Source organism: Homo sapiens, chromosome 5, assembly GCF_000001405.40.
Source record: "Homo sapiens chromosome 5, GRCh38.p14 Primary Assembly".
Classification (NCBI taxonomy): Eukaryota; Metazoa; Chordata; class Mammalia; order Primates; family Hominidae; genus Homo; species Homo sapiens.
The window spans coordinates 27,217,488-27,242,294 of record NC_000005.10 but is presented as its reverse complement, the minus strand read 5'-3'; positions in this window follow the sequence as shown (position 1 = coordinate 27,242,294).

Below are 24,807 nucleotides of genomic sequence, written 5' to 3'. Positions count from 1 at the left end.
TTCCATGTCTTTGCTATTATGAATAGTGCTGCAATGAACATGCCAGTGCAAGTGTCTTACTGGTAGAATGATTTGTTTCCTTTTGGATATATACCCAGTAATGGGATTGCTAGGTCAAACGGTAGTTCTGTTTTAAGTTCTTTGAGACTTCTCCAAATTGCTTTCCACAGTGACTGAAGTAATTTACATTCCTACCAACAGTGTATAAGCATTTCTTTTTCTCCAGAGCCTCACTAGCATCTGTTATTTTGCAACTTCTTAATAATAGTCATTATGACTCATGTGAGATGGTATCTCATGGTGGTTTCGACTTGCATTTCTCAGATGATTAGTGAGGTTAAGTATTTTTTCTTCTGTTGCAATTACTTTTAAGGACTTGGTCGTAAATTATTTCTCAAGGCCAGTGTCCAGAATAGTGTTTCCTAGGTTTTTATCTAGGATTCTTATAGTTAGAGGTCTTACATTTAAATCTTTAATCCTTCTTAATTTTTTACATGGTGAAAGGTTAAGTGTTCAGTTTTATTCCACTGCATATGGCTTGCCAGCTATCCCAGCACCATTGAATAGGAAGTCCTTTCCCCATTGCTTATTTTTGTTGACTTTTTTGAAGATTAGATGGCTGTAGGTGGGCAGCTTTATTTCTGGGTTCTCTATTCTGATCCATTGGACAATGCGTCTGTTTTTGTATCAGTGTCGTGCTATTTTGGTTACTGTAGCCTTCTAATAGTGTTTAAATTCAGGTAAGGTGATGCTTCCAGCTTTCTTATTTTTGCTTAGGATTGCTTTGGCTATTCAGGCTCATTTTTGGTTCCATAAGGATTTTAGAATAATGTTTTTTTTTCTAGTTCTGTGAAAAATGACACTGGTAGTTTGATAGTAAAAGCACCGAATATGTAGATTGCTTTGTACAGTTTGACTATTTTAAAAATATCAGTTCTTCCAATCCACGAGTATGGAATGTTTTTGCATTTGTTTGTGTCATTTATGGTTTATTTTAGCAACATTTTGTAGTTCTTTTTGTAGAGATCTTTGACCTCTTTGTTTACATGTATTCCTAGGTGTTTGTGTGTGTGTGTGTGTGTTTGTGACTATTGTAAGTAGGACTGAATTCTAGATTTGGCTCTCAGCTTCAACGTTATTGATATATAGAAATGCTACTTATTTTTGTATATTGATTTTACATCTTGAGACTTTACTGAAGTCATTTATCAGTTCTGAGAGCATCTTCACGGAGTCCTTAGGGTTTTCTAGGTATATAATCATATCATCCATGAAGAGAGACATTCTTCTCATCTGCACACAGGAAATACTACAAGGTCAACCACATTCTCAGACACAAAGCAAATCTCAATGAATTAAAAAAAATTGAAATCATATCAACCATACTCAGAGACTACAATGAAATAAAAATAGAAATCAATACCAAGAAGATTTCTCAAAACCACACAATTAAATGGAAATTAAACAAGTTGCTCCTGAATGTCTTTTGGGTAAACAATGAAATTAAGGAAGAAACAAAAAACATTTTTTTTTAATAAATGGAAACAGAGATGCAACAGATCACAATCTCTGGGATGCAGCAAAAACAATCTTAAGAGGAATGTTTATAGCACCAAATGCCTATATCAAATAGTTAGAAAGATTTCAAATTAAAGATGTAACGTCACACCTAGAGGAACTAGAAAACAAGAACAAACTAACTCCAAAGCTAGCAGAATAAAATGAATAACTAAAATTAGAGTTGAACTGAACAAAATCAAGACCCCAAAATCCATACAAAGAATCAACAAAACCAAAAGCTTTTTCTTTGAGAGGATAAACAAGATCAATTGACCATTAGTTTGATTAACAAAAAAAAGACATAGTCCAAATAAACACAATTAGAAACAACAAAGATGACATTAAAACTGATCCCACAGAAATACAAAAGATCCTCAGAGACTATTCCAAACACCTGTATATACACAAAAGAAAATCTAGAAGAAATGGATAAATGTCTGGAAACATATAATCTCCCAAGATTGAGTCAGGAAGAATTTGAAACATTGAACACTCCAATATCAAGTTCCAAAGTTGAATCGGTAATAAAAAAAATACAACCCCGAAAAGCCCCAGACTGAATAGATTCACAGCTGAATTCCACCACACATACAAGGAAAAGATGGTACCAATTCCACTGGAACTATTCCAAAATATCAAGGAGACAGGAACACTCTCTAACTTATTCTGTGAATCCAGCAGCACCCTGATACCAAAAGCTGGCAAAGACACAACAAAAAAAGAAAACTACAGGCCAATATCCCTGATGAACATAGACACAAAAATCTTCAAAAAGATACTAGCAAACTGAATCCAATGGCACATCAAAAAGTTACTTCACCATAATCAGGCAGACTTCATTCCTGGGATGCAAGGTTGGTTCAACATATGCAGATCAGTAAATATGTTTCTCCACATAAACAGAATTAAAAAGAAAAGTATATGACCATCTTAATAGATCTGGGAAAAGCTTTTATTAAAACCCCAAATCTCTTCATTACAAAAATCCTCAAGAAACTAAGCATCAAAAGAACATACTGCAAAATAATAGGAGCCATCAATGACAAACCCACAATCAATATCACACTGAAAAGGCAAAAGCTGGAAGTATTCCCCTAGAAAACTGGAACAAGACAAGGATGCCCACTCTTACCACTCTTATTCAACACAGTACTGGAAGTTCTAACCAGGCCAATCAGGCAAGAGAAAGAAATAAAAGGCACCCAAATAGGAAAATAAGCCATCATTCTTTTATGTAATTATTTATTTATATGATTATAGACTCCTAACTATTGTTTCACTTGCTTTCAAAACCTATTTTTTAAATATACATGGGGTAATAACTCCTTCTTAGTATACACCATTTAAAAAATCATCCATTGAATCCATTATTTATCATACACTGCTCTTGTTTTTATTACCTAATCATTGATCACACTGTTCTGTATCTTTCTGGTAGCATTTTCTCACCCTAATAACTTTATATATGCTGTTATTTAAAATTGAATGTAGGTCAAACACTTTATTGCCCCTCTCTATAATTTTAAATGTAGCCTTTCAGAGAGGGGCTGACCTAAGTGCAATGCCCTGAATGTTTATGCCCCCCTCAAATCCATGTGTTGAAATCCTAATCCCCAAGGTGATGGTTTTAGGAGGTGGGCTGCTAAGAGGTGTGACTAGTTAATGAAGGCAGACCCCTCATAAATAGGATTATTGTCTTTATAAAACACAATAACCATTTCACCACGGAGAAATTCCTCATCCTTTCCATTATGTGAGGTTATAGCAAAAAGACAGCTGTCTAGGAAATGGACCATTGCTAGACAGTGAATCTGCTGGTGCCTTGATCTTGAGCTTCCCAGCTTCCCAAACTGTGAGAGACAAATTTTTGTTGTTAATTGGCCACCCAGTTTGTGGTACTTGTTACAGCAACTCACACAGACTAAGATATTAAGTCATGCCATTATTCTGTTTTTGTACCAAGAATTCTATGACATACATACATTATTTTCTCTTTCACAGATTCACAAAGTATTCTCTATGGAAGGTCCACATGCAATATAATTAAAAGAATGGACTAGTTAGTTTAACTCTCAGTCTACCATTAATATTTTTAAAACTATTCTCAAATTATAACATATGCCATATGTAAAAAGCTATAACCTCAAATAATGTTTTAAATATCAGCATGGAGTGTTTTGTTACAAAAGAAAGTTTCTTATTCAATTTACAATTGAATTTTTCTTTTTTTTGAAAATTATTTGTAAATAATATTATGCCTAGCTAAGTGAAGAGAACTTAAGATTTTGATGACCTTAAATCTTCTTTTAAGAAAATCAAGAGTTTGGTTACTCTTTGTGTGTGTGTGTGTGTGTGTGTGTGTGTGTGTGTGTGTATGTGTGTCTCATGTGCTTGTGTGCACATGTACGTATATATATGTATTATATATGTATCATATATGTATTTATATATATATTTCACCACCACACCTGGCTTATTATTTTTTTTTATTGAGACAAGGTCTTTCTATGTTGCTGGTCTAGAACCTCCTGGCCTCAACTAATCCTCCTGTCTCAGCCTCTCAAAGTACTGGTATTATAGGCATAAGCCACCATGTCTGGTTACTTGGTTCAATATTAAAACAATAGTTCTAATGAATGTTTAGTATATTCTCAGAAACATTTCACATCAAGATTATCAAAACAGTTCAAGTTTTCAATATTTACAAAAGAAACATATGGGAAAAGACAATATTATAATTGAACTGAAACCTCAATTTCGATACCTAATATGTGTATACACCTAAATATTTTGTATTTTTATGAAAACAAACAATATAAAAGACTAGTCTGTGCTCATGGGTGTCACACAGAAAGAATATTAAATCTGTTTTGAAATTGTATTGTTTTCACTTTATTCTGTTTGGAATAAGCTTAAGTGAGAAATCAGATGTTCCAGTTTTTATTTTCCTTCACTGCTTTCTTTATCATTTTCCTATTTTTGTCCTTCCTTTTAACATGGATGACTTCATGCCTCCATGCTTTCTTTCAAGAAAATTTCAAGACTATTATTTCCCAAATTTTGAAGGTGATTTTTAAAACCTAAATTTTCAGTTCCAATTCAATACAAATCGTACTGTTCTTGTTCTTTTTTTATTTTTATTTTTTAGACGGAGTCTTGCTCTGTTGCCCAGGCTGCAGTGCTGTAGCACAATCTTGGATCCCTGCAGCCTCTGCCTCCTGGGTTCAAGTGATTGTTCTGCCTCAGCCTCCCAAGTAGCTGGGATTACAGGTACCTGCCACCAAGCCCAGCTAATTTTTGTATTTTTAGTAGAGATGGGGTTTCACCATGTTGGCCGGGCTGGTCTTGAATGCCTGACTCCAAGTAATCTGCCCACCTCAGCCTTCCAAAGTGCTGGGATATTCTTGTTCTTGGTATATTATGTTATGCATTTTTAAAGAAATTATATTATGAGTATATAAAGTTTGAAAAAATAATAATACAGTTAAGAAATTTCATTTTATAATCTGACCATATTCTGGGTAACAAATTCAAACAAATTTACAGCCATAACTAAAATACATTCAGTAAATTCAGCACAAATGTATAATGTCCTTGATTTATTGAATATGAATCATTTCTTTGCTAAAGAAACCATCAGTATTCATCGCCAAACAAGGCAAATGTTTGAGGCTGTGGCCTTCGCTATCTAAATTCAAGAGCTTACATACGTATTTAGATGCAAAGTCTAAGTATTTTGATACTTGAAACAGAGGAATCAATTAGCTATGCCAAAGACACAATAGAAAATTCCATGATGCTGAAAAATTGTACATAAAGCATCAGCTGGTAATTTATACACAAACATACAACCTCTTATAACACCAAATTTAGTAGGGTTAGTCTGCTAATGTCCAGAAAACTCAGGATATTTGGGGATGCTAGAATCCCTGCCATCTCTCTTTTAATCTTGTTGATAAGAAGTATCATAAAATTACACAAGTACAATTTTTCATTTCATAGTAGTTGAATCTCTCTTTCTTTTTTGTCTGTCTCATGATCTCTGTCCTTCTTCATAGTTACTGAGCATTCTTCCTTATATTTGCAAACTTTCTGTTATACCCTATTTATTATAGTTTTAATATGAAATGTTAAACTCTGGCTTGGCCAGGGAATCAAGAAGCAGAGGCATCGATGTCAGGAGAATAATGTGGAATGTAGTGAGGGCATGATGTGGAACTGAGGGAATCCAATAGAATTTCTACAATAATAGAGGCCTTAAGTGCACTGGTGTAGTTAATTGACACAGATTTCCAGCTTCAGAGTAAATCCTGATAATCCATATTGAAGTAGCCAAAGCAATGATGCACAAACAGCATCTACAGCTCAGCTACAGGTTGAAGAGTAAACATAGAACAATATCTATAGGTTGCATAAAGAGAAATTGCTAATAAAAATGCTTGAAGGATAATATCTGCTTACATCTTAAAAGCCAAGGATATCTTTGTTATTTATAATTTAAAGTGATGTCATTTTCAATATTATTTTGACAATAAAAATCATGCTAAAATTTCTTCAAGGGCTCTATTTAACATGTACTTTTAAGTAGTTAATCTCACCTAATTCTCAAGATAACAGACTAAACTGTATATACTTTTAATATTAATTAGCATATTTCATGACCTTTTGCTCTGTTATTACTTCATTTTGTATTCATGATACCTTCATCTAGTTATTTCATGACCATATTACAGTTGAAGAATCTGTAACTTAAATAGCTAAATGATCATGAAAGATTATGTAATTAGAAAGTAGTTAACTTGCATACAAACCAACTCCCATTAAAATATAACTGAAGAATGGGTGATTATTAATTTAATATATACTAAAAATATCTAAACCTTAATGAAATATTTTATTAAATTAATTTGTAACCAACAGATTGACAGATGATGGCCAATATGTCCAAAATAATTCTCCATTTTAAAATAATGACATGGTACACCCTGTTCATAGTGAATAGTACGAAATATGTTTAAAATGCACAGATAATTTTAAAGCATTCACCCATTTCTGAGAGTACATTTTTTATTTTCAAATTTTAGCAAAAAACAATATTTAGGTAGTGTGACTGTCCTGCTTTCTAGACAAGAAGGACTCCGCACACTGAGCAAGAGAGAGAAAGGAATTTAATGATCATAACTCCATGTCATACCCAGATGTCAATTGTCCTTGTGGCTATAGGACAATGCATCAGAGCTAAATAGAATCAAGCAATAATACAATAAGAAAAAGTATCATTCAAATGATCCCCCATCTAGAAAAAAAAAATCATTGTTCAACGTGGGATTAAGAGAGAGATATGTGGAAAATTTAAACTAAAAAGTAGTAGAAGTAGAGAAGGAGTACAAAGCCAGGTGTTATTTTCAGAAAAGAGAAGGTACCTCTTGGTGATTTTTGAATTTCTTTAGGCCTCTTATATGGGCTCTACTAGACCAGGCACTATTCATCCACAGAATCCAAATACCATTTGGCTTGGATTTAATTTCTTCACCACTTACAGGTTCAAGCTGATAAAGTACTCTGGAGTACATCTTTTTGACAAAATGATTGCATGCAATTGAACTATGAATGATAAGCTTCTCAGGTTCAGAAATGAGTCAGGCGCATTATCATTGTTACAGTCCATTGCACTCCAAAATTTAGTGGACGTTTTCCTGCCTCTTAATATCTACTTAAACTTCAGTGACCTTAAGAGTTCTAAAAGATACTGGGAGGGTGTATTGGTCCATTCTTATGCTGCTATGAAGAAATACCCAAGACTGGGTAATTTATAAGAAAAGAGGTTTAATTGACTCACAGTTCTGCATAGCTGGTAAGGCCTTAGGAAGCTTACAATCACAGTGAAAGGCACATCTTCACAAGGTGGCAAGAGAGAGAATGAGTGCAAGCAGGGGAAATGCCAGATGCTTATAAAAACATCAGATCTCACGGGACTCACTCATTATCAGGAAAACAGCATAGGGGAAATGAGCCCCATGATCTGATTACCTCCACCTGGTCCCACCCTTGACACCTGGGGATTATGGGGTTTACAATTCATGATGAGATTTTGGGTCCAACCATATCAGGGGGGTTGACCTCAACTTTATATAAACCCTTCCAGTATGTCAGCTTATATTTTTATTGTCCCTTGAGTCATCTGAGCTGCTGATTTCATATATCTCTATAAAGTTTTTGACCTGAACTTAAATTCAGGTCCAATTCCAATTTCAACAAAAAATAAAAATCACTCAATAAAATAATTGTGCATTTAGTAAATTTCAATATTTTTTTCAATGTAGCTCTTGCTCTTTTTTTCTATCTATATTATTCAAAGCAATTCAACTACTTGTTACTTTAGCTCAGTAGAGAAAAATGATCATCTATTTAGTAGAAAATACCGTCTGAAGAAGATCACTACTAGGTGTAGATGCTTACACATACTGGGTGCTAAAATTGGCTTGTTGATTTAAAAGTAGAAGGGCATATGAAAGAGCAAGGGAAGATTGAGTAGATCCACTTGAAAAAGCATATTAGCATCTTGCTTACTTCAAAGGGTCAAAGGTAGCCATCTTTCAGGTTCTAGCACATTTGTGTCTGGTATATAGGAAAAAGTACCAGACTGTGATACCTAATAAGATACACTTTCTCCAGGTATAGTACTTTTCAGCTTACTTAGCTTACTTCTTGTACTTAGAACATCAGAATGGCATCTTAAAAGTTTTAGTAAGTGTTTCAAATCCTCCTTAGGCATGATAATATGGCTAGTATATCATTTGCATACACACATATTTGGAATTAAAGATGGATTTATTATTAAAGAAAATTTTCTTGGTAAAGATGTAAATTGTAAGTAAATATAAGGATGGTAGGTGAGTGTGTGTGTGTGTTTTGTTATTGTTGTTTGTTTTTTTTAAAGAGATGGAATCTCACTATATTGCCCAGGCTAGATATGAACTCTTGAGCTCAAGCAATCCTCAGCCTCTTGAGTAGCTGGAAGTATGAGTGCAAATGCCTAACTCTGAGTGGTGTTTTTAATAAGAGAAAAACTGAAAAAAAGTTGTTGAATTTTTAGATTAATTTATACTTAAAATAGAACTATCATACAATCCAGCAATCCAACTACTGGTATTTATCCAAAGAAAACAAAATTAGTATATCAAAGGGATACCCGCACCCTTATGTTTATTTTGCACCAGCACTATTCACAATAGCCAAGATAGAGAATCAACCTAAATGTCCATCAGGAGAAGAACAGATAAGGAAAATGTGGTATATATGTTCAAAGAAATATTGTTCAACCATAAAAAAATGAAAACCTCTCATTTGCGGCAACATAGGTGGAACTGGAGGTCATGTTAAGTGAAATAAACCAGGCACAGAAAGACAAATATTACATGTTCTCACTCATATGTGAGTGCTAAAAAAATTAATTTTATGGAGGTAGATAATAGAATAATACTTATCAGAGGCTGAAAAGAGTGAGTGTGGAGGAGGAAAGGAGTCAGTTGAAGAGAGGTTGGCTAAGGGGAACACATACAGTTATACAGAAGGAATAAGTTCTAGTGTTTGATAGCACAGTAGAGTGAATAGTGAACAACAATTTATTGTGTATTTCGGAATAGCTAGAAGATTTGAAATAGCCCCAACACAAAGAAATGATAAATGTTTGAGGTGATGGGTATTCTAAATACCCTGATTTAATCATTACATATTGTATAAGTATATAAAATATCACATGTCTTTTGGTGGCCTTATATTCCACAGCCTATACAACCAGAGGTCAAGGTAGGCTCCCTAACTGTCTTTTGCTCCCATTAATCATCAATTGTGTCAACGGATAATAGTTAAATTTAAAATTATTTGGGTGCCTACTATAGTCATGCCTTGGTATTTGTGGAGAATTGGTTCCAGGATGACTGCTGGATATCTAAATTCCTGTATACTCAAGCCCCTTACATAACATGATGTAGTATTTGCTATCATATGGAATATAAAGCCGCCAAAAGACAACGGGGACCTCTTTAAGATTTTTAATGTTCATAATATATTGATAAGGATGCCTTACAGTGCAGACAAATATATTGTAATGTACAACTAGATAGCTGGACTATCCATCATGAAGTTTTGGAATTATACACAGATCAATACTGCCTCTAGATGTGCTTAATTCAGATTGGAACTATTTTGTGTGTATGACTGCCTATGCTTGTTTTATTTTTTCAAATTATAAGTAAGGCTGGAGAGATAAAGCAGTTGGGTTTGGCCAGGTGCAGTGGTTCTGGCCTGAAATACCAGCACTTTGGGAGGCCGAGGCAGGTGGATCACTTGAGGTCAGGAGTTCGAGACCAGCCTGGCCAATATAGTGAAACCCCGTCTCTACTAAAACTACAAAAACGAACTGGGCATGGTGGCGCACGCTGTAATCCCAGCTACTTGGGACGCTGAGGCAGGAGAATCACTTGAACCCTGGAGGCAGAGGCTGCAAGGAACGAAGATTGCACCACTGTACTCCAGCCTGGGCCACAGGGTGAGACTCCATCTAAAAAAAAAAAAAAAGAAAAAGAAAAAGAAAGCAAGCAAGCAAGCAAGCAAGAAAGAACAGTTGGGTTTGATTGTTTTAAGGGCTTTGTTCCACTTGTTTCATCATTGGGTATTCTGGTTTCAAAGATAACTTGCTCTCTGTGGAATTTTCTGCATGTACACAACACAGTTAAGTTCCCTCAATGTGTTGATTCTGATAGAAGCAACATTTTGTCTGTGCCTACTATTGCCTGTTCAAATCTTGTCTACCAATAATACTGTGGCAGGTATAAAATATTTGGGGTGCAGTATTTTGGGAAAGAGGATCATCTGTTTCATCTTTGGTAATCAGATTTTAGAGATATAAGCTTCTCACCTGCAGTATTTAGCTGCCAGGTTTGAGCCACACAGTTTCTTGAGATGTGTCAGTTCCCCAAAGCTATAGCTGCTGACACATCAGTCTTGCGATGGTGGATCTTTCTCAAGGTAGTTTCTACGAGCTTCAAAGTTGGCATGTATAAAATCAGTTCTCATTCTGAAAATATGTATTTGATTTAGAAAATTACTATTGTCCCGAAGTCACAGAAGCTGCTATTGAGAGTAGAGGGGCTTCAAGGTATGGACAGATTTTCATGAATATTTACATCAAGTCCGAAAGCCTTGAGGGCTCAAGGGCCATGACCATTTCATCATGCTTTTTTACACACATAATTTCTATACTTCATGGCCCAGAATAAAGGTCAATTTTTTTTTGCAAAAAGACTCCCTTGATAATCCCAGTCAGAATTCATTAACACTTCCTCTACAATTCAATCTCTCTATCCTATTTTATACTGCTACCATAATAATTATCATATTCTTACCATTATAATTATTTGGTATATTGACCTTCTTTTCCCATCCCATTAGGCATATAGTAGGGATTTACTTAACAATCAACACCCACAAATCGTGACTTTCCCTCTTCTACTAGTATTGCAATCTGTTTTCAAACTGCAAAGGCCAGAATTATTGTTTATATGTAATACACACCTGAAAATTAAATTAAATTGTTGTAACATAATTGCAGTGTGTAAAAATGCCATGAATTATATAGATCATGCCATGAATTATATAGATCAATATTATATATTTAGTAGGTGCTATTAAATAAAATGCCAACAATCTTCCAGGTACTTGATAAAATGAATCGCTCTTGCTTTTGACAATCTTTGGCTTTGAATATGTACAGCAGAAATTTTCTAATCCTAGTTGGTGTTCACTCAATAATTTAGAAAGAAATAAACCTACTCTTCTGAAAGTAATATATTCAAGAGTCACATAGATTTCTTTATAAATCATAGATAACATAATTAGCAAAGAGAATAAGACTAGTTATCTATATTCAGGCTATAGGCAAGAGTTAGGCTTAACCTACCATTGCCTAAATGAAATATATAAGAAACAGACCAAATCTTCCCATTCCCAAATATTATATAATTGACATTTCTATAACTTTCAATACATGAGACTGACATCCTGTGGCTGTATACTATGTGTAATTAAGAAACCCTGTTTGCAAATGACCCTGTGCTTGCTGCCAATGAGCATGCTCTAGTGCAGGTCATCTGTGCTATGCAGAAGTAAGGAGCCCTGATAATAACGCCGGAGGGGGGTAAGAAAAACAGCACATTCAAAGTCATTTTTTGACCATATCAAACTGTCAGGTAGACAAACAGAATGGCTATAATACATCTAAAAATAGTAAAAATTCAAAGTGTAAAAATGCATTAAAAGGAAATTCAATCCGGAAAAATGGAAACTAATGCATCTATGAAAGATAGTTATTTAATCAATAAAATCTGGAACACCTCTATCCTGACAGCGATAATGAACAGAAAACTCATGAAGAGTTTGCAATGTTATATATGACAGTACTCTGGGCTACATATAACACCACCCTTTTCAGGAAGTTTCATGTGTGTTACTGCCAAGATTCTGTTAAACTGTGAAGACTCTGTGGCATAAGTATGAAATGTTAGCATGTTAGATTGAAAGAGATTAACTGATTTAACTATGCTTGTAGGACTGGAAACACCCAACTGTCTACTGGTTTTCTCCATTTTGAACTAAACTAATGCTTTATAACAATTTTCATTCTGGAGTACAAATATTTAATACAAAATATATTGCTTATCACAGTATATCTAAAATTTGAAAATCCTGAAGGGACATTTTAAGGTGTATATTTATATATATATAAAGTGTGTGTGTAAATATATATATATATAGTGTATGTGTGTATATATATATATATATAAAGATGAAGACAACTTGAAAATCCTGAAGGGACATTTTAAGAGTGTGTATATATATATATATATATATGAAGATAACTATGAAGTAAATCTTTTTAAAAACAATTTTGTTACATTATTTTCTTTCTAATTACATTACTTACGATGATTTCCTTTGTCTATTCCTTTTAAGTCTTTTACACTTTTAAGTATATATTGTTAGACAGAAAGCTGTAGATGTGAATACCTGTATTTGTACGTCTATATTTATCCATCTTATAGCTAGAGGTAAAGAAAATGAGAGGCAATAATTTGTCCCTAATGTAATTAGATGAATCTTTTGTGGTATGACTATAGACTTTAAATGTCTATTGTTGAAGTCAGGAAAAAACATGAGGGATATTCTATCACACTAATGAAACATATGGCTTATAGTTTAGTGGCATAGAAAATAGATTTTTGTTGCTTTTATTTAATTATCTTTCCTTCACTTTGAATATCTAGTTTTTATTTCCATTGTACTGGATGACTTTATGTAAGATTTTTCATGTCTTTTTTTAAAAAAACAATGTAGTATGTTAAAATAATACGAATACTAAAATATAAGTAAACAAAATTTAAATTATCAGCCAGGTGCAGTGACTTATGCCTGTAATCCCAGCACTTTGGATGGCCGAGGTGGGTGCATCACTTGAGGTTAGAAGTTTGAGACCAGCCTGGCCGATATGGCAAAACCTTGTCTCTACTAAAAATAAAAAATTAGAGTGTGGTGGCATGTGCCTGTAATCCCAGCTACTCAGCTGGCTGAGGCAGGAGAATTGCGTGAACCCAGGAGCCAGAGGCTGCAGTGACTACAGATCATGCCATTGCAATCCAGCCTTGGTAATAGAGAGACTGTGTCTCAAAAAAAAAAAAAAAAAAAGAAAAGAAAAGAAAAGAAAAAGTAAAGTATACACTAATGCACGTGTATGTATGCATGATGTACATAAAATTTCCACAGCAGCAAGGACAATATTTGATTTTCTCTTCACCATATGCTTAATGCATAGCACAGGATAGGCAGTCACTACATGTTATTTAATGAAAGACTGAATGAATAAATGAATGGATGTATATATGTCATTTTTTAACGTTTTTATTATTATTATTTTTCTTGTCAGAGTTGCCATATTTAGCAACATCTTTCATGGAAAACCAAATTTCTGACCAATCAGGTTTTTTTAATTTTAATTTTTTCAGCTTTATTGGGGTATAACTGACAAATAGAAACTGTATATATTCAAAGTGTACAATGAGATGTTTTGATACATCTGTCCATTGTAAAACAATTATCACAATCAAGATAATATATTAATATACTCATATTCTCACATTGTTATCTGTTTCTGTGCTTATATGATGAGAATACTTAAGATCTACTTTCTTAGAAAATTTCAAGTATACAATACGTTATTAACTTATAGTCACTATGTTGTACATTAGGCTTCCAGAACTTGTTCATCTGAGTTGCCAGTTTTCACCTGTTGATAAAGTTCTACCCTTTTCCCATCTGCGACACCTGGTAATCATCATTCTACTGTTTCTATGAGTTTGACTCCTTTAGAGTTCAAATATAAGTAAGTTTATGCAGTATTTGTCTTTCTGTGTCTGCTTTATTTTATTTAACATACTGTCTTCCAAGTTCATTCATGTTGTTACAAATGTTAGGATTTCCTTTTTTTTTGAGATGGAATAATATTCCATTATCTGTATGGTATGTATTCTAAATAATTTTTAAGAAGATTTGTAAAAACGTAAAGAGATTTTAATTAAAACTGCATTAAAGCTGTAAATAAATTAGATAAAATTCCCATCTTTAAAATATTATCATGAATTTTAGAGCACGACTGCCTTTCCTTTTTTCTAGATATTTAAATAAATGTTTTAATAAACACAATAAAATTTTTAAAATTATATTTATTTCTATAACTTTAATTTCTTACTAAATTATCTAATAGTTATACTTTATTGGAAAATCATTGATAATTTGTAGGTATCTACATATTTGCTAATATGCTGATTTTTTTATTTTATGTTTGTTGACCCTTAAATTTACTAAGTCGACAAAAGTAACAACTGTAATATTGATAAATTTAAATATTTAAATTTTAGAAAATATTTTATGGGCTACTACAATCATTGACATTTCTAAGAGTGTAAAATAATTATATGAAATGAAATTTACTATCTCATTTTGATTCTGATTTTATTAAGAGAGTTTCTAGAACTTAAGTTTTAATTATCAGGTTATTTATTAAAGATAAAAACTAAAATAATACAGACTCTGCCTTCTATTGCTGTTTTATAATTAATTTTATTTATAAAGTATTATATTTTAACCAAATAGTATTTTGGCATTGTTTACATTTTTTTCCAAGCAGTTTTCTTCACAATGAGCTTTAACATAAAATTTTGTGTGTATGATTTTTAAAATGTCAGGAGTAATAGAAGGCTTTTTTGACTAGTAGTTATCTAAAAAATTAATCAAAAACTGATTACATGTTTTCCAGCCACACTAGACTCTGTCAGTTCCATCACTGAAAGCATGAAGATATACTCCATTTCAGGACTTAAAAATTTTGTGTCTGCTGATGTGTGTTCCCCCAGTGCTTCTTCAAATCCTGAATTCTTACACACTTTTTAAAATTTGATGGCTCTCTTCATTCTTAAAGATATTCATTAATGTCACTCTTTAAGACAGAACTTCCACTTTGCTTGCTCCATCGTTATTTCTCACAGTATGCTGCATGGTTATATTTATAACAGCATATAACATATGTCACAATATTTAAAATATATTTATTTTCTAAATTTATTATTTTCTGCATGTGTTAAAGTTAACTGAAGTAAGGATTTAGATTTGACTATTGCAGTGTTTCCACACAGAAGATACTTAAAGGATGATGCATAAATAGCTAATATATAGTTCCCATATATACCTCCAAGATGGCAGGACCTTGTTGCAATTGAAGCCAGATCAATTTTGATGGGAAAATTAACAAACAGAAGTAAAAAACATATTTAAAATATACAAGTATATCTGACTTATCATAGTCTAAGATAAAAAATACACAGAAGGATCTTAGCAAAAGTAAATTTTAACTGAAACCTCAGGGTTTTCCCTAAAATAAGGTCACATGTAAAGATGAGTTGACAATGCAAAATCACACTACACAATTGAAAGACCATCGACAACCAGAGTAAAAAAAAAAATCAGATTTACATCCACAAGAAATTTATATAAAGAATGTAAACCAAAAACAAAATTCTGAGGCCTCCCATTTATCTAAATGAACCCCTCCTCTCAGCCAAGGGCATTCCAGAGTGAAGCTGAAAACCCAGTCCAGGCTATGATAGAAGAAGGGGTTGGACATGCTTCCTTTTACCTTCCAGCATTAACATCAACACTAGCTTTAAGTCTGATTATAAACATTAATCTTAATGCATAGTATTAAGATCTATTTTCTCTGAATCCTGCTACTTGGAAGCTTCTGCTACATAATAAAACCTTGGTCTCCACAACTTCTTATTATAATCTAGACACTCCTTACTACTGATAATAACTCTTTCAATCAATTGCCAATCAGAAAATTTTTAATTCTACCTATGACCTGGAAGGCCCTCTGATCCCTGCTTCAAGATGTCCTGCACTTCCAGATCAAATCAATATAACTCTTACATGTATTGTTTGATGTATTTTTGTCTCCCTAAATTGTATAAAAGCAAACTGTACCCCAACCTCCTTGGGCACATATCTTCAGGACCTCCTGAGGCTGTGTCACAGATGCATCCTTAACCTTGGCAAAATAAACTTTCTAAATTGATTGAGACCTGTCTCAGATACATTTGGGTTCATGCCTGTATCTTGGCAGGTATCTTGGGAGGCTGAGGCAGAAGAATGGTGTGAACCCAGGAGGCAGAGCTTGCAGTGAGCCAAGATCACTCCACTGCACTCCAGCCTGGGCAACAGAGCGAGACTCCGTCTCAAAAAATAAAAGAAAAGAAAAATAAAAGAAAATGTGTGCTATGTATGATTTAACTCCAAGAAAAGGAAGAGAAAGAACCGTCATGAAGTCAACTCATTCAGAAAGAAAATACAATGCTAGTGAAAAAGCAGCAGGAAATTTTAGTCCCACTACATCTGAGGAAATTTGCATTCAGTAAATTATCAGTGAACTAATTTCTAAAGAATATTTTCCAGGAAAAAGAAAATAAACCCCCCCAAAAAGATCTCGTATACAATTAAAAATAAATCAATTGAGGAGTGAGACTATAATAATGTAAATATAATCTTTTCAGTTAATGCATTCAGAAGCAAAGGTCTTTGTATTTCTGAGGTGGCAGGAACATATTATTTTTATTTAAATGTAAATCAAACATACCCAAATTTTCCAACATTGAACAGATTATTCTATTTCCCTGAGTATTTATATGTTATTTGTAAATGTTTAACATTTTTTTCTTTTTTAGTTCTTACACATAAGAGCTGTTGGCCATGTGCGGTGGCTTATGCCTGTAATCCCAGCAGTTTGGGTGGCCGAGGTGGGCAGATCTGTTGAGGTCAGTAGTTCGAGACCAGCCTGGCCAACATGGTGAAACCACGTCTCTACTAAAAATACAAAAATTAGCCAGGTGTGGTGGCGCATGCCTGTGAGCTCAGCTACTCAGGAGGCTGAGTCAGGATTGAACCTGAGAAGCGGAGGTTGCAGTGAGCCGAGATTGTGTCATTGCACTTCAGCAGGGGTAACAAGAGCAAGGCTTTGTCTCAACAAAAAATAATAACAACAAAGAATAAAGCTGTTATAAACTGAATTTTGTTTCCCCTAAATAGCCCCCTAATGAAGCGCTAATACCCAGTTTCTCAGAATGTGACTGTATTTGGAGATAGGGCCTTTATAAAAGTCATTACTTTAAAATGAGACCTTCAAGTTGGGCCTTAATCTATTCTGACTAGTATCCTTAAAAGAAGAGGAGATCACGTCCTATAAAGAGAAATATCAGCAATTTATGGGCATAGAGGAAAGGCCATCTGGAAGCCAAGGATCAGGTCAGAAGAAATCAAACCCACCAATGCAGGTTGGACTTGTGGTCTCCAGAATGGTAAGAAAATAAATTTCTGTTATTTAAGCCATGCAGTCTGTGGTATTTTGTTACAACAGCTCTAGCAAACTAATACAACAATATATATTCCTGATGGATGAAAGCCTAAGGTCCACTGAACATTACTATTTTTGGACAACATAAGAGATTTAGAACACCATTATTTCATTACTCTTCTCCCAAATCAATATGGCATTTTATAGTATATTCTATGTGTGTGCGAGTGTGTGCGTGTGTGTGTGTGTTGTTTAACTTTATTTGTCAACTTAGCTAGGCAATGATGCCCAGTTTGTTAAACACTTAGCCTAGATGTTGCTGTGAAGGTATTTTGTAGATGTGATTAACGTTTATAATCAGATGACTTCAAATAATGCTGATTACTCTTCATAATGTGAATGAGCTTTTTCCAATCAGTTGAAGGCCTTAAGAACAGAGACTGAAATTCTTCTTTTTTTAACACATGAATCAAACTGATGACTTTGAAGTCCATTATGCGGATCTCCTATAGGTCTTTCTAGTATATATTTTGTCCTCATTTTCAAACTTTATATTCATTTTTTCCAGTTATATTTCAATTAGGTTAATATAAATAATTTGTTACAAAATGCATAAAACTTAAGCATAAAATTCAATGACATTGTCAAATGCATATGCCTATAATCCTAACACAAAAATCCAGATTCCCAAAATGTTTCCTCATAGCCTCTTCCAATAAAGTTGCACTTCACATAGATAATCAGTGATACAGAAATTGTTATAATTTTTGTTAATTATAGATTTGACTTATTCTTGATCTTATATAAATGGATTCATAATGTCTAAATGTTTTTGTGTTGTTTATTTTGTTCAATCTCATGATTTTGGAAGTTAGTATTTTTGAGTGTATCAGTAGTTTTTTTAATTAATACATAATATCACATTATAAACATAGCACTTCTAGCTATGATAGAATCATTGGTATCAGACTTATAATCTTATCATAGACCAATATAAAACATTATCTCGCACTGGACAACAGGCAGTACAAAACAATGATCATTATATCAAGATAAACACACAAATTAAATCTTAGGTTTGCCTGACTTTGTGACCATGGTAGAAGAATACTTTTTAGACTGTGGGAGAAAGACATGCAACCAAAGTGTGTAAGTTTCACTGAACTCAGGATGCAGACACATGAATTTCATTTTGCTTAAAGTAGTGAAAATCTGCAGGACTGAATACCATTCAGGAGAGGTTTTCTAAGTCTGTGAGGAGTTTCACAACATATCCATGGCAAAAGGCTACATGCGTATGCATAAAATGAAACTCCTGATGTTCTCAAGAAAGCAGTTGCTGCAGAACTGAGGTGAACAGAGATACCAGAGATCAACAGGGACAAAAAATAACAGAGTTCTGGCTCAGCAAAATAGGAAACACATCACTAAACACTGGGCATTTAAATAAGACCCCAAAGAGATCATGTGTTAGGAGTAACAAATGCATGCTAAATAGAACATTCTCTAAAACTAAAAATAAAGCCAAAATTGGCTCTTCTTAACAAAGAAAAAGGCCAAGCATGACAAAAGTAATAGAATCTATCGACAATTTAATTGCCTGTGAGAAAAAATTTATGACTCTTAAAAAAGAGAAAATGTTAACAGTGAATAGAAAAATAATACTGACATTTTCGCCATATCATCCACAACACCCAGATTAAAATAAATATGACAATACTAGATTTATGAAGAAACAAAGATATGTGTGCTCTATAAGCAAGAAAAACAGTAATTAGAAACAGGTTACAAGATACCTTAAATGTTGGATTTATTAGATCGAGATTTTGAGATATCTTTAAAAAATATATTGAAGAATTTCAACGAAAAGTGAGTCACAATCTATAAAGAAATGGAGACTCTTGGAAGAGAAATTCAAATTAAAACAGAGAAGCAAATGGAAATTCTATGACAAATAAGTACACTGATTGAAACTTAAAAATGAACTTAATGGATATAACAGCAGACATAAAACTGCAAAAGAAAGGATCAACGAAGTGGTAGAAAGAATTTTAGAAATAATGCAAACTAGCAAACTAGTGATGAAATAAGATTAAAAATAAAACTCCTGATAGTCTTAATACGTGTAACCCGTCAAGAAGCCTTACATATATCTAATTTGAATTACATAATGAGTGAGTGGAAATAACAAAAAAAAATTTGAAGACATGATGTTCAAAATTTTCTAATTAATAATAAAGACATTAAGTAATTAATGTCTTTATTAATTCTAATTAAGAATAAAGACATAAAGTAAACAATCATATGTCTAAGCTTAGGAATCTCAGGCATATAAATCCAACCACACATACAAATACATCCACATTCATATCTGGGGAACTGACACCCAAAGAGTTCATTAGCAGTTAGAAAGGAAATATAATGAAATTGAGGAAATATATTAAAAGTAACCAGGAGCAGGGGAGTACATTACATACCATAGAACAAGGAAATGAATGAGCTGCTTCTCATTGGAAACAATGGAGCAACATATTTAAAATTCTGAGAAATATCAAATTGGAATTTGATATTCTCCAATTATTTCTTTAAAAATGAGGCTAATATAAAGGTTCTTTGAGATAAAGAAAATCTGAGCTAAGTTGTTGCCAGCAGACCTACACCATAATAAATAATACAGGATGTTCTTCAGGTTGAAATGAAAAGATAGCAGATGGAAACTTGAGTCTACAGGAGGAATAAGCAGCATCAGAAATAGCAAACATGTGGATAACTGTAAAAGACTGTTTTTTATTGGTTGTTTTTCCACTAATTTCTTCAAAGATAACTTTTGAAGCAAAAATAATAATCTGTGTTATGTGGTTTGTAACTATGTTTAAGTAAAATATGACAGCAATACTAGAAGGTATGGGAAGTTAAGACAATTCTATTGTTCTAAATTATAACATTTTATATGAAGTGGCACAATATAAACCTAATGTATGATAATGTAATGGCTCATTTTATAACCACCAGAATTATTACTAAAATAGCAATTCATACATCTAAATGTTAATAGTCAGTGGAGAAAATAAAACAGATAGTAAATAAATTTTCTGAATCTGCTAAAAATGACAGGAAAGGAGTAAATGGGAAAAAAAAGTAAAACAAAAAGGGAAAATTAAAAAACAAATGACATCATGATTTCTTTAAACCCAAGCATATAAATGAATGCACTATTTTAGATTAAGGTACGGAATATTAAAATAGCTTCATATTTATTTTCACTATATGTAACTTCCATTTAACAAATTAACATTAAAAATGAAAAAGTGAATACATTTAGTAATATTAAAAAGAAAGACAATGAAAATGTTGTTGGAATAACTAGTAATTAATTTTATAAAATACAGATGAGTTAATATTATGAAAGTTGTTTGGAAAAAATTAGAATTATATATGACAAAAACTATGAATTATGAAAAAATAGATAATTATTGGAGAATTATCTCCCAAGAGCAAATTATTAACATCAGAATGATTTATTAATCAATTAATGAAATAATAAATACTATCATCTCTAAAAATATACCACATGACTTTAGGGAAGCTAGGTTCTAGAATCATCATATCTGAGAAAAAAATGTCAGAGTTAACATGGAATGTTGTATTTTGTTATACTCCTTCACAGAATATTAAATTAACATCTTAAACTAATCCCGAATTTAGATAATTCAAACAAAGTTTAGCTCTTTCAAATCCTGACCTACTTCTGGTTAAATCGTTTTTAGGTCGTGACGTATTCAGATCCCTCAAAATGACCTACAGTGTTCATGAGACTTTTAGGTTCATAAAGACTCTAATTTCAGCCTCCAAATTCTTTGTTTAGCTCTGCTCAGCTTCTCTGGTTCTCCAAAAGTATTTTGAGTATTGTAGCAATACCAGACTCACCTCTTTGAATCTGCCTTCTCTTCTCAATTTTATTGTCATACATCATAATTTTCTGGGTAGCACTCCAATGCCTTCTATCACATTTTCAATATATATTTATCCTTTGCGCCTACATGTTTACAGGACAATTCTTCATCTCCAAATGTAAGAAACAGAGTCTAACTTCATTTCGTTCTTAAAATAAAAAAATTTACGGCCAGGCGCAGTGGCTCACGCCTGGAATCCCAGGACTTTGGGAGGCCGAGGAGGGTGTATCACGAGGTCAGGAAATTGAGACCATCCTGGCTAACACGGTGAAACCCCGTCTCTACCAAAAATACAAAAAATTAGCCGGGCGTGGTGGCGGGCGCCTGTAGTCCCAGCTACTCTGGAGGCTGAGGCAGGCTAATGGCGGGAACCCCGGAGGCGGAGCTTGCAGTGAGCAGAGATGGCGCCACTGCACTCCAGCCTGGGCGACACAGCGAGACTCCATCTCAAAATAAATAAATAAAAACAAAAATAAAATAAAAAAAAGTGACGATTCAATTCAATTTTAAATCTGTGAGCAAAGTTTTGTTTACAATCATTGAAGTTCTATCTTTTTGTTTCCCTGATAATTATATTTCAAAATTTTAAAAGTTATAAAATTTAAAATCGTTTTATAATATGGAAGAAATAGCTGGAAAATTTATGGTCGATTATAATTCTAATTGTTGTGAGCCAACAATAATATTATTTTATTTATTTATTAAGAAAAATTTATTAAGTTTCTACTATATGCAAAGAGCAGAGCTAATAGCTCCAGTTATATGCTGCTTCCCATAGTATAATCAGTGTTCATTGCAAAGAAAACAGCTACAAAATAAGTAATCAAAATGTCAGCTGCCTTAGAGATTAAATGGAATTTAAGCTCAAAGAAAATAATTATGTACAACTGTAATAACAATTTCTTAGGGAGTATTCCTATTATTAATTGTGATGAAAGGGCAAATTATGCAAGCTTTTCAAATGAAAAATTGTTCACAAAATATTCAACATTCGTGTTTTTGATTCATTGCGAATTATTCGTCACTCTCTTAATAGCTTCAACTCCCTGTCAGAGCAAGTTAACAACAACAGTAATTATTATGACAACATTAACATGTAAATAGTTTTTTAAAATAATATTAACAAAACTGATTTTTATTTCACTGTCTACAAAGTATAACTGGAGAAGAGGAGAAAAATTAATGTTCATTTAGTTCTTTATTTATAACTTTTTACTAGTCAAAATTTCAAGAAATTTTTCTAGGCAACTATTTTATGTAACTAATACCTGGTACTAAACTGTAGAGCTTACCACCATTTTATTGATGAGGAAACATATCCAGTACATTAAAGCACACTTTCAGAACAGTTGAAAATTTGACGTCCAGAGTCTTAAAGGCTTGAAGATTACTTAAGAGCCTATCTTCTCTTCTGCTGTAGAGTTATAGTGATCATAGCTAACATTCCTCTTTGTTCTTTAGGAAATCATCTTCCTTAACGAAATTTACTTTGTTAGTGTTTCTATTTATTATATGTAGCTTGCTTTTATTATATGAATGAGTTGATTTCCAAAAATTTTATTCTATCTAAATTTTATATTTTTAGATTTTGATTATTTCAGAATCATTTCATTTCATTTTTTCCCTGAATATGGTCAAATATATTACTTTTTAATTTTATTTTAATTAACTTTTCAATGGTAAGCAGATGGCCAAGGTTGGGAAAATTAAATATAACTAGATTCCACATATTAAGCAAAGGAGATCGATGGCATTGCCATTCAGTTGGTTTTGCAGCAGCTGTTGATAAACACCCACATTTTGCTTGATATTGAACCCCTCAAAACACCAAACCCAAACCCAGGCCCATAGTATTAAAATCTCTACTGGATAATAACAGTGGTGCTTTGCCCACATCTCTTTTTTTTTTTTTTTTTTTTTTTTTTAGACAGAGTCTTGCTCTGTCGCTCAGGCTGGAGTGCAATGGCACGATCTCGGCTCACTGCAAGCTTCGCCTCCCAGGTTCACGCCATTCTCCTGTCTCAGCTTCCCGAGTAGCTGGGACTACAGGTGCCCGCCACCACGCCCGGCTAATTTTTTTCGTATTTTTAGTAGAGACGGGGTTTCACCGTGTTAGCCAGGATGGTCTGGATCTCCTGACCTCGTGATCCGCCCACCTCGGCCTCCCAAAGTTCTGGGATTACTGGCGTGAGCCACCGCGCCCGGCCTGCCCATATCTCATATAAAACAGTTCCTCCGTCAGGAATCACATATTCTAAAATGCGTAGCATTTACTCTCTCTCCTTTCCCTCCCAAATCAAGCAGTTCAGTTGAACCTTCTACATGGTAAAACATGTAGGTAAGCGTAATTATAAATTCAGGGTAGGCTTCACAAAATAATCCCTCATGTCTAGCTTAAAATAAAAAGAGCATACATAATCATCAAATATCTAGCTATAATTGTTGGTACTGTGTTTTTCTGCATATATGTATCATATTGAAATGGGAAGTTACCTTGTCCCCCTCGCAGGCCGTGTAATGGGGTTGCTTCTTCAGTGCCCCGCTGCTCAAACCTCTAGGGGAGCATACAGACGGGCAGGCTATGGGGCTCCGACTGCACAGCAGTGTGTAGGGGTGAATGTTTGCAGCTCCTGAAGCCCCAGTGGGAGTGTGTCACAGGGTGCTCTTCTAGTTTTGCTCTTTTAGTTTTGCCGTCTATAGGTGGCTTGTGTTAAGCAGCTCCCTTAGACCTTCTACTTTGTCTCAGGGACAGAGGCTTTCTGTATCCCAGGTTCTTACCTTGATGTACCGAAAGAATCTGATCACACCTGGGCTTGGAGAATGATTGCAAGGTTTTATTGGGTGGAAGCAGCTCTCGGAAAGTCAGAAGGGGTGGAGTGGGAAGGGTTTCCCCTAGAGTCGAGCCGTTCAGCAGCCTGGGCTCTCCTCTGACTGCCCCAGCTAAACTCCATGTCATTCTATTTCTAATGGTCGGTGGCCTGCCAGGGTGCCCGTGCCTGTCGGTGTTTTACTCCGTATGTCCAGCCGTCAGTGTGTTACTCTCTGTGTCTAGCCACCTCTGTGTTCCTCCTCTGTTGTGCTCCTCTTGACATCCAGCCGCCTGTGTGTCTGCCGGCTAGGGCCTCGGGGGTTTTTATAGGCACAGAATGGGGGCGTGGGAGGCCAGGGTGGTCTTGGGAAATGCAACATTTGAGCAGGAAGGCAGGACTGCCTGTACTCACCTAAGTCTGCAGGGTGGAGCCCTAGTCAGGGACCACACCCTTACCCCCTTCCATATCATTTAAAGGGACCACACGCTTCTCTACCCAGGTCTTCCTCATTAATATTTTAAAATGAAAG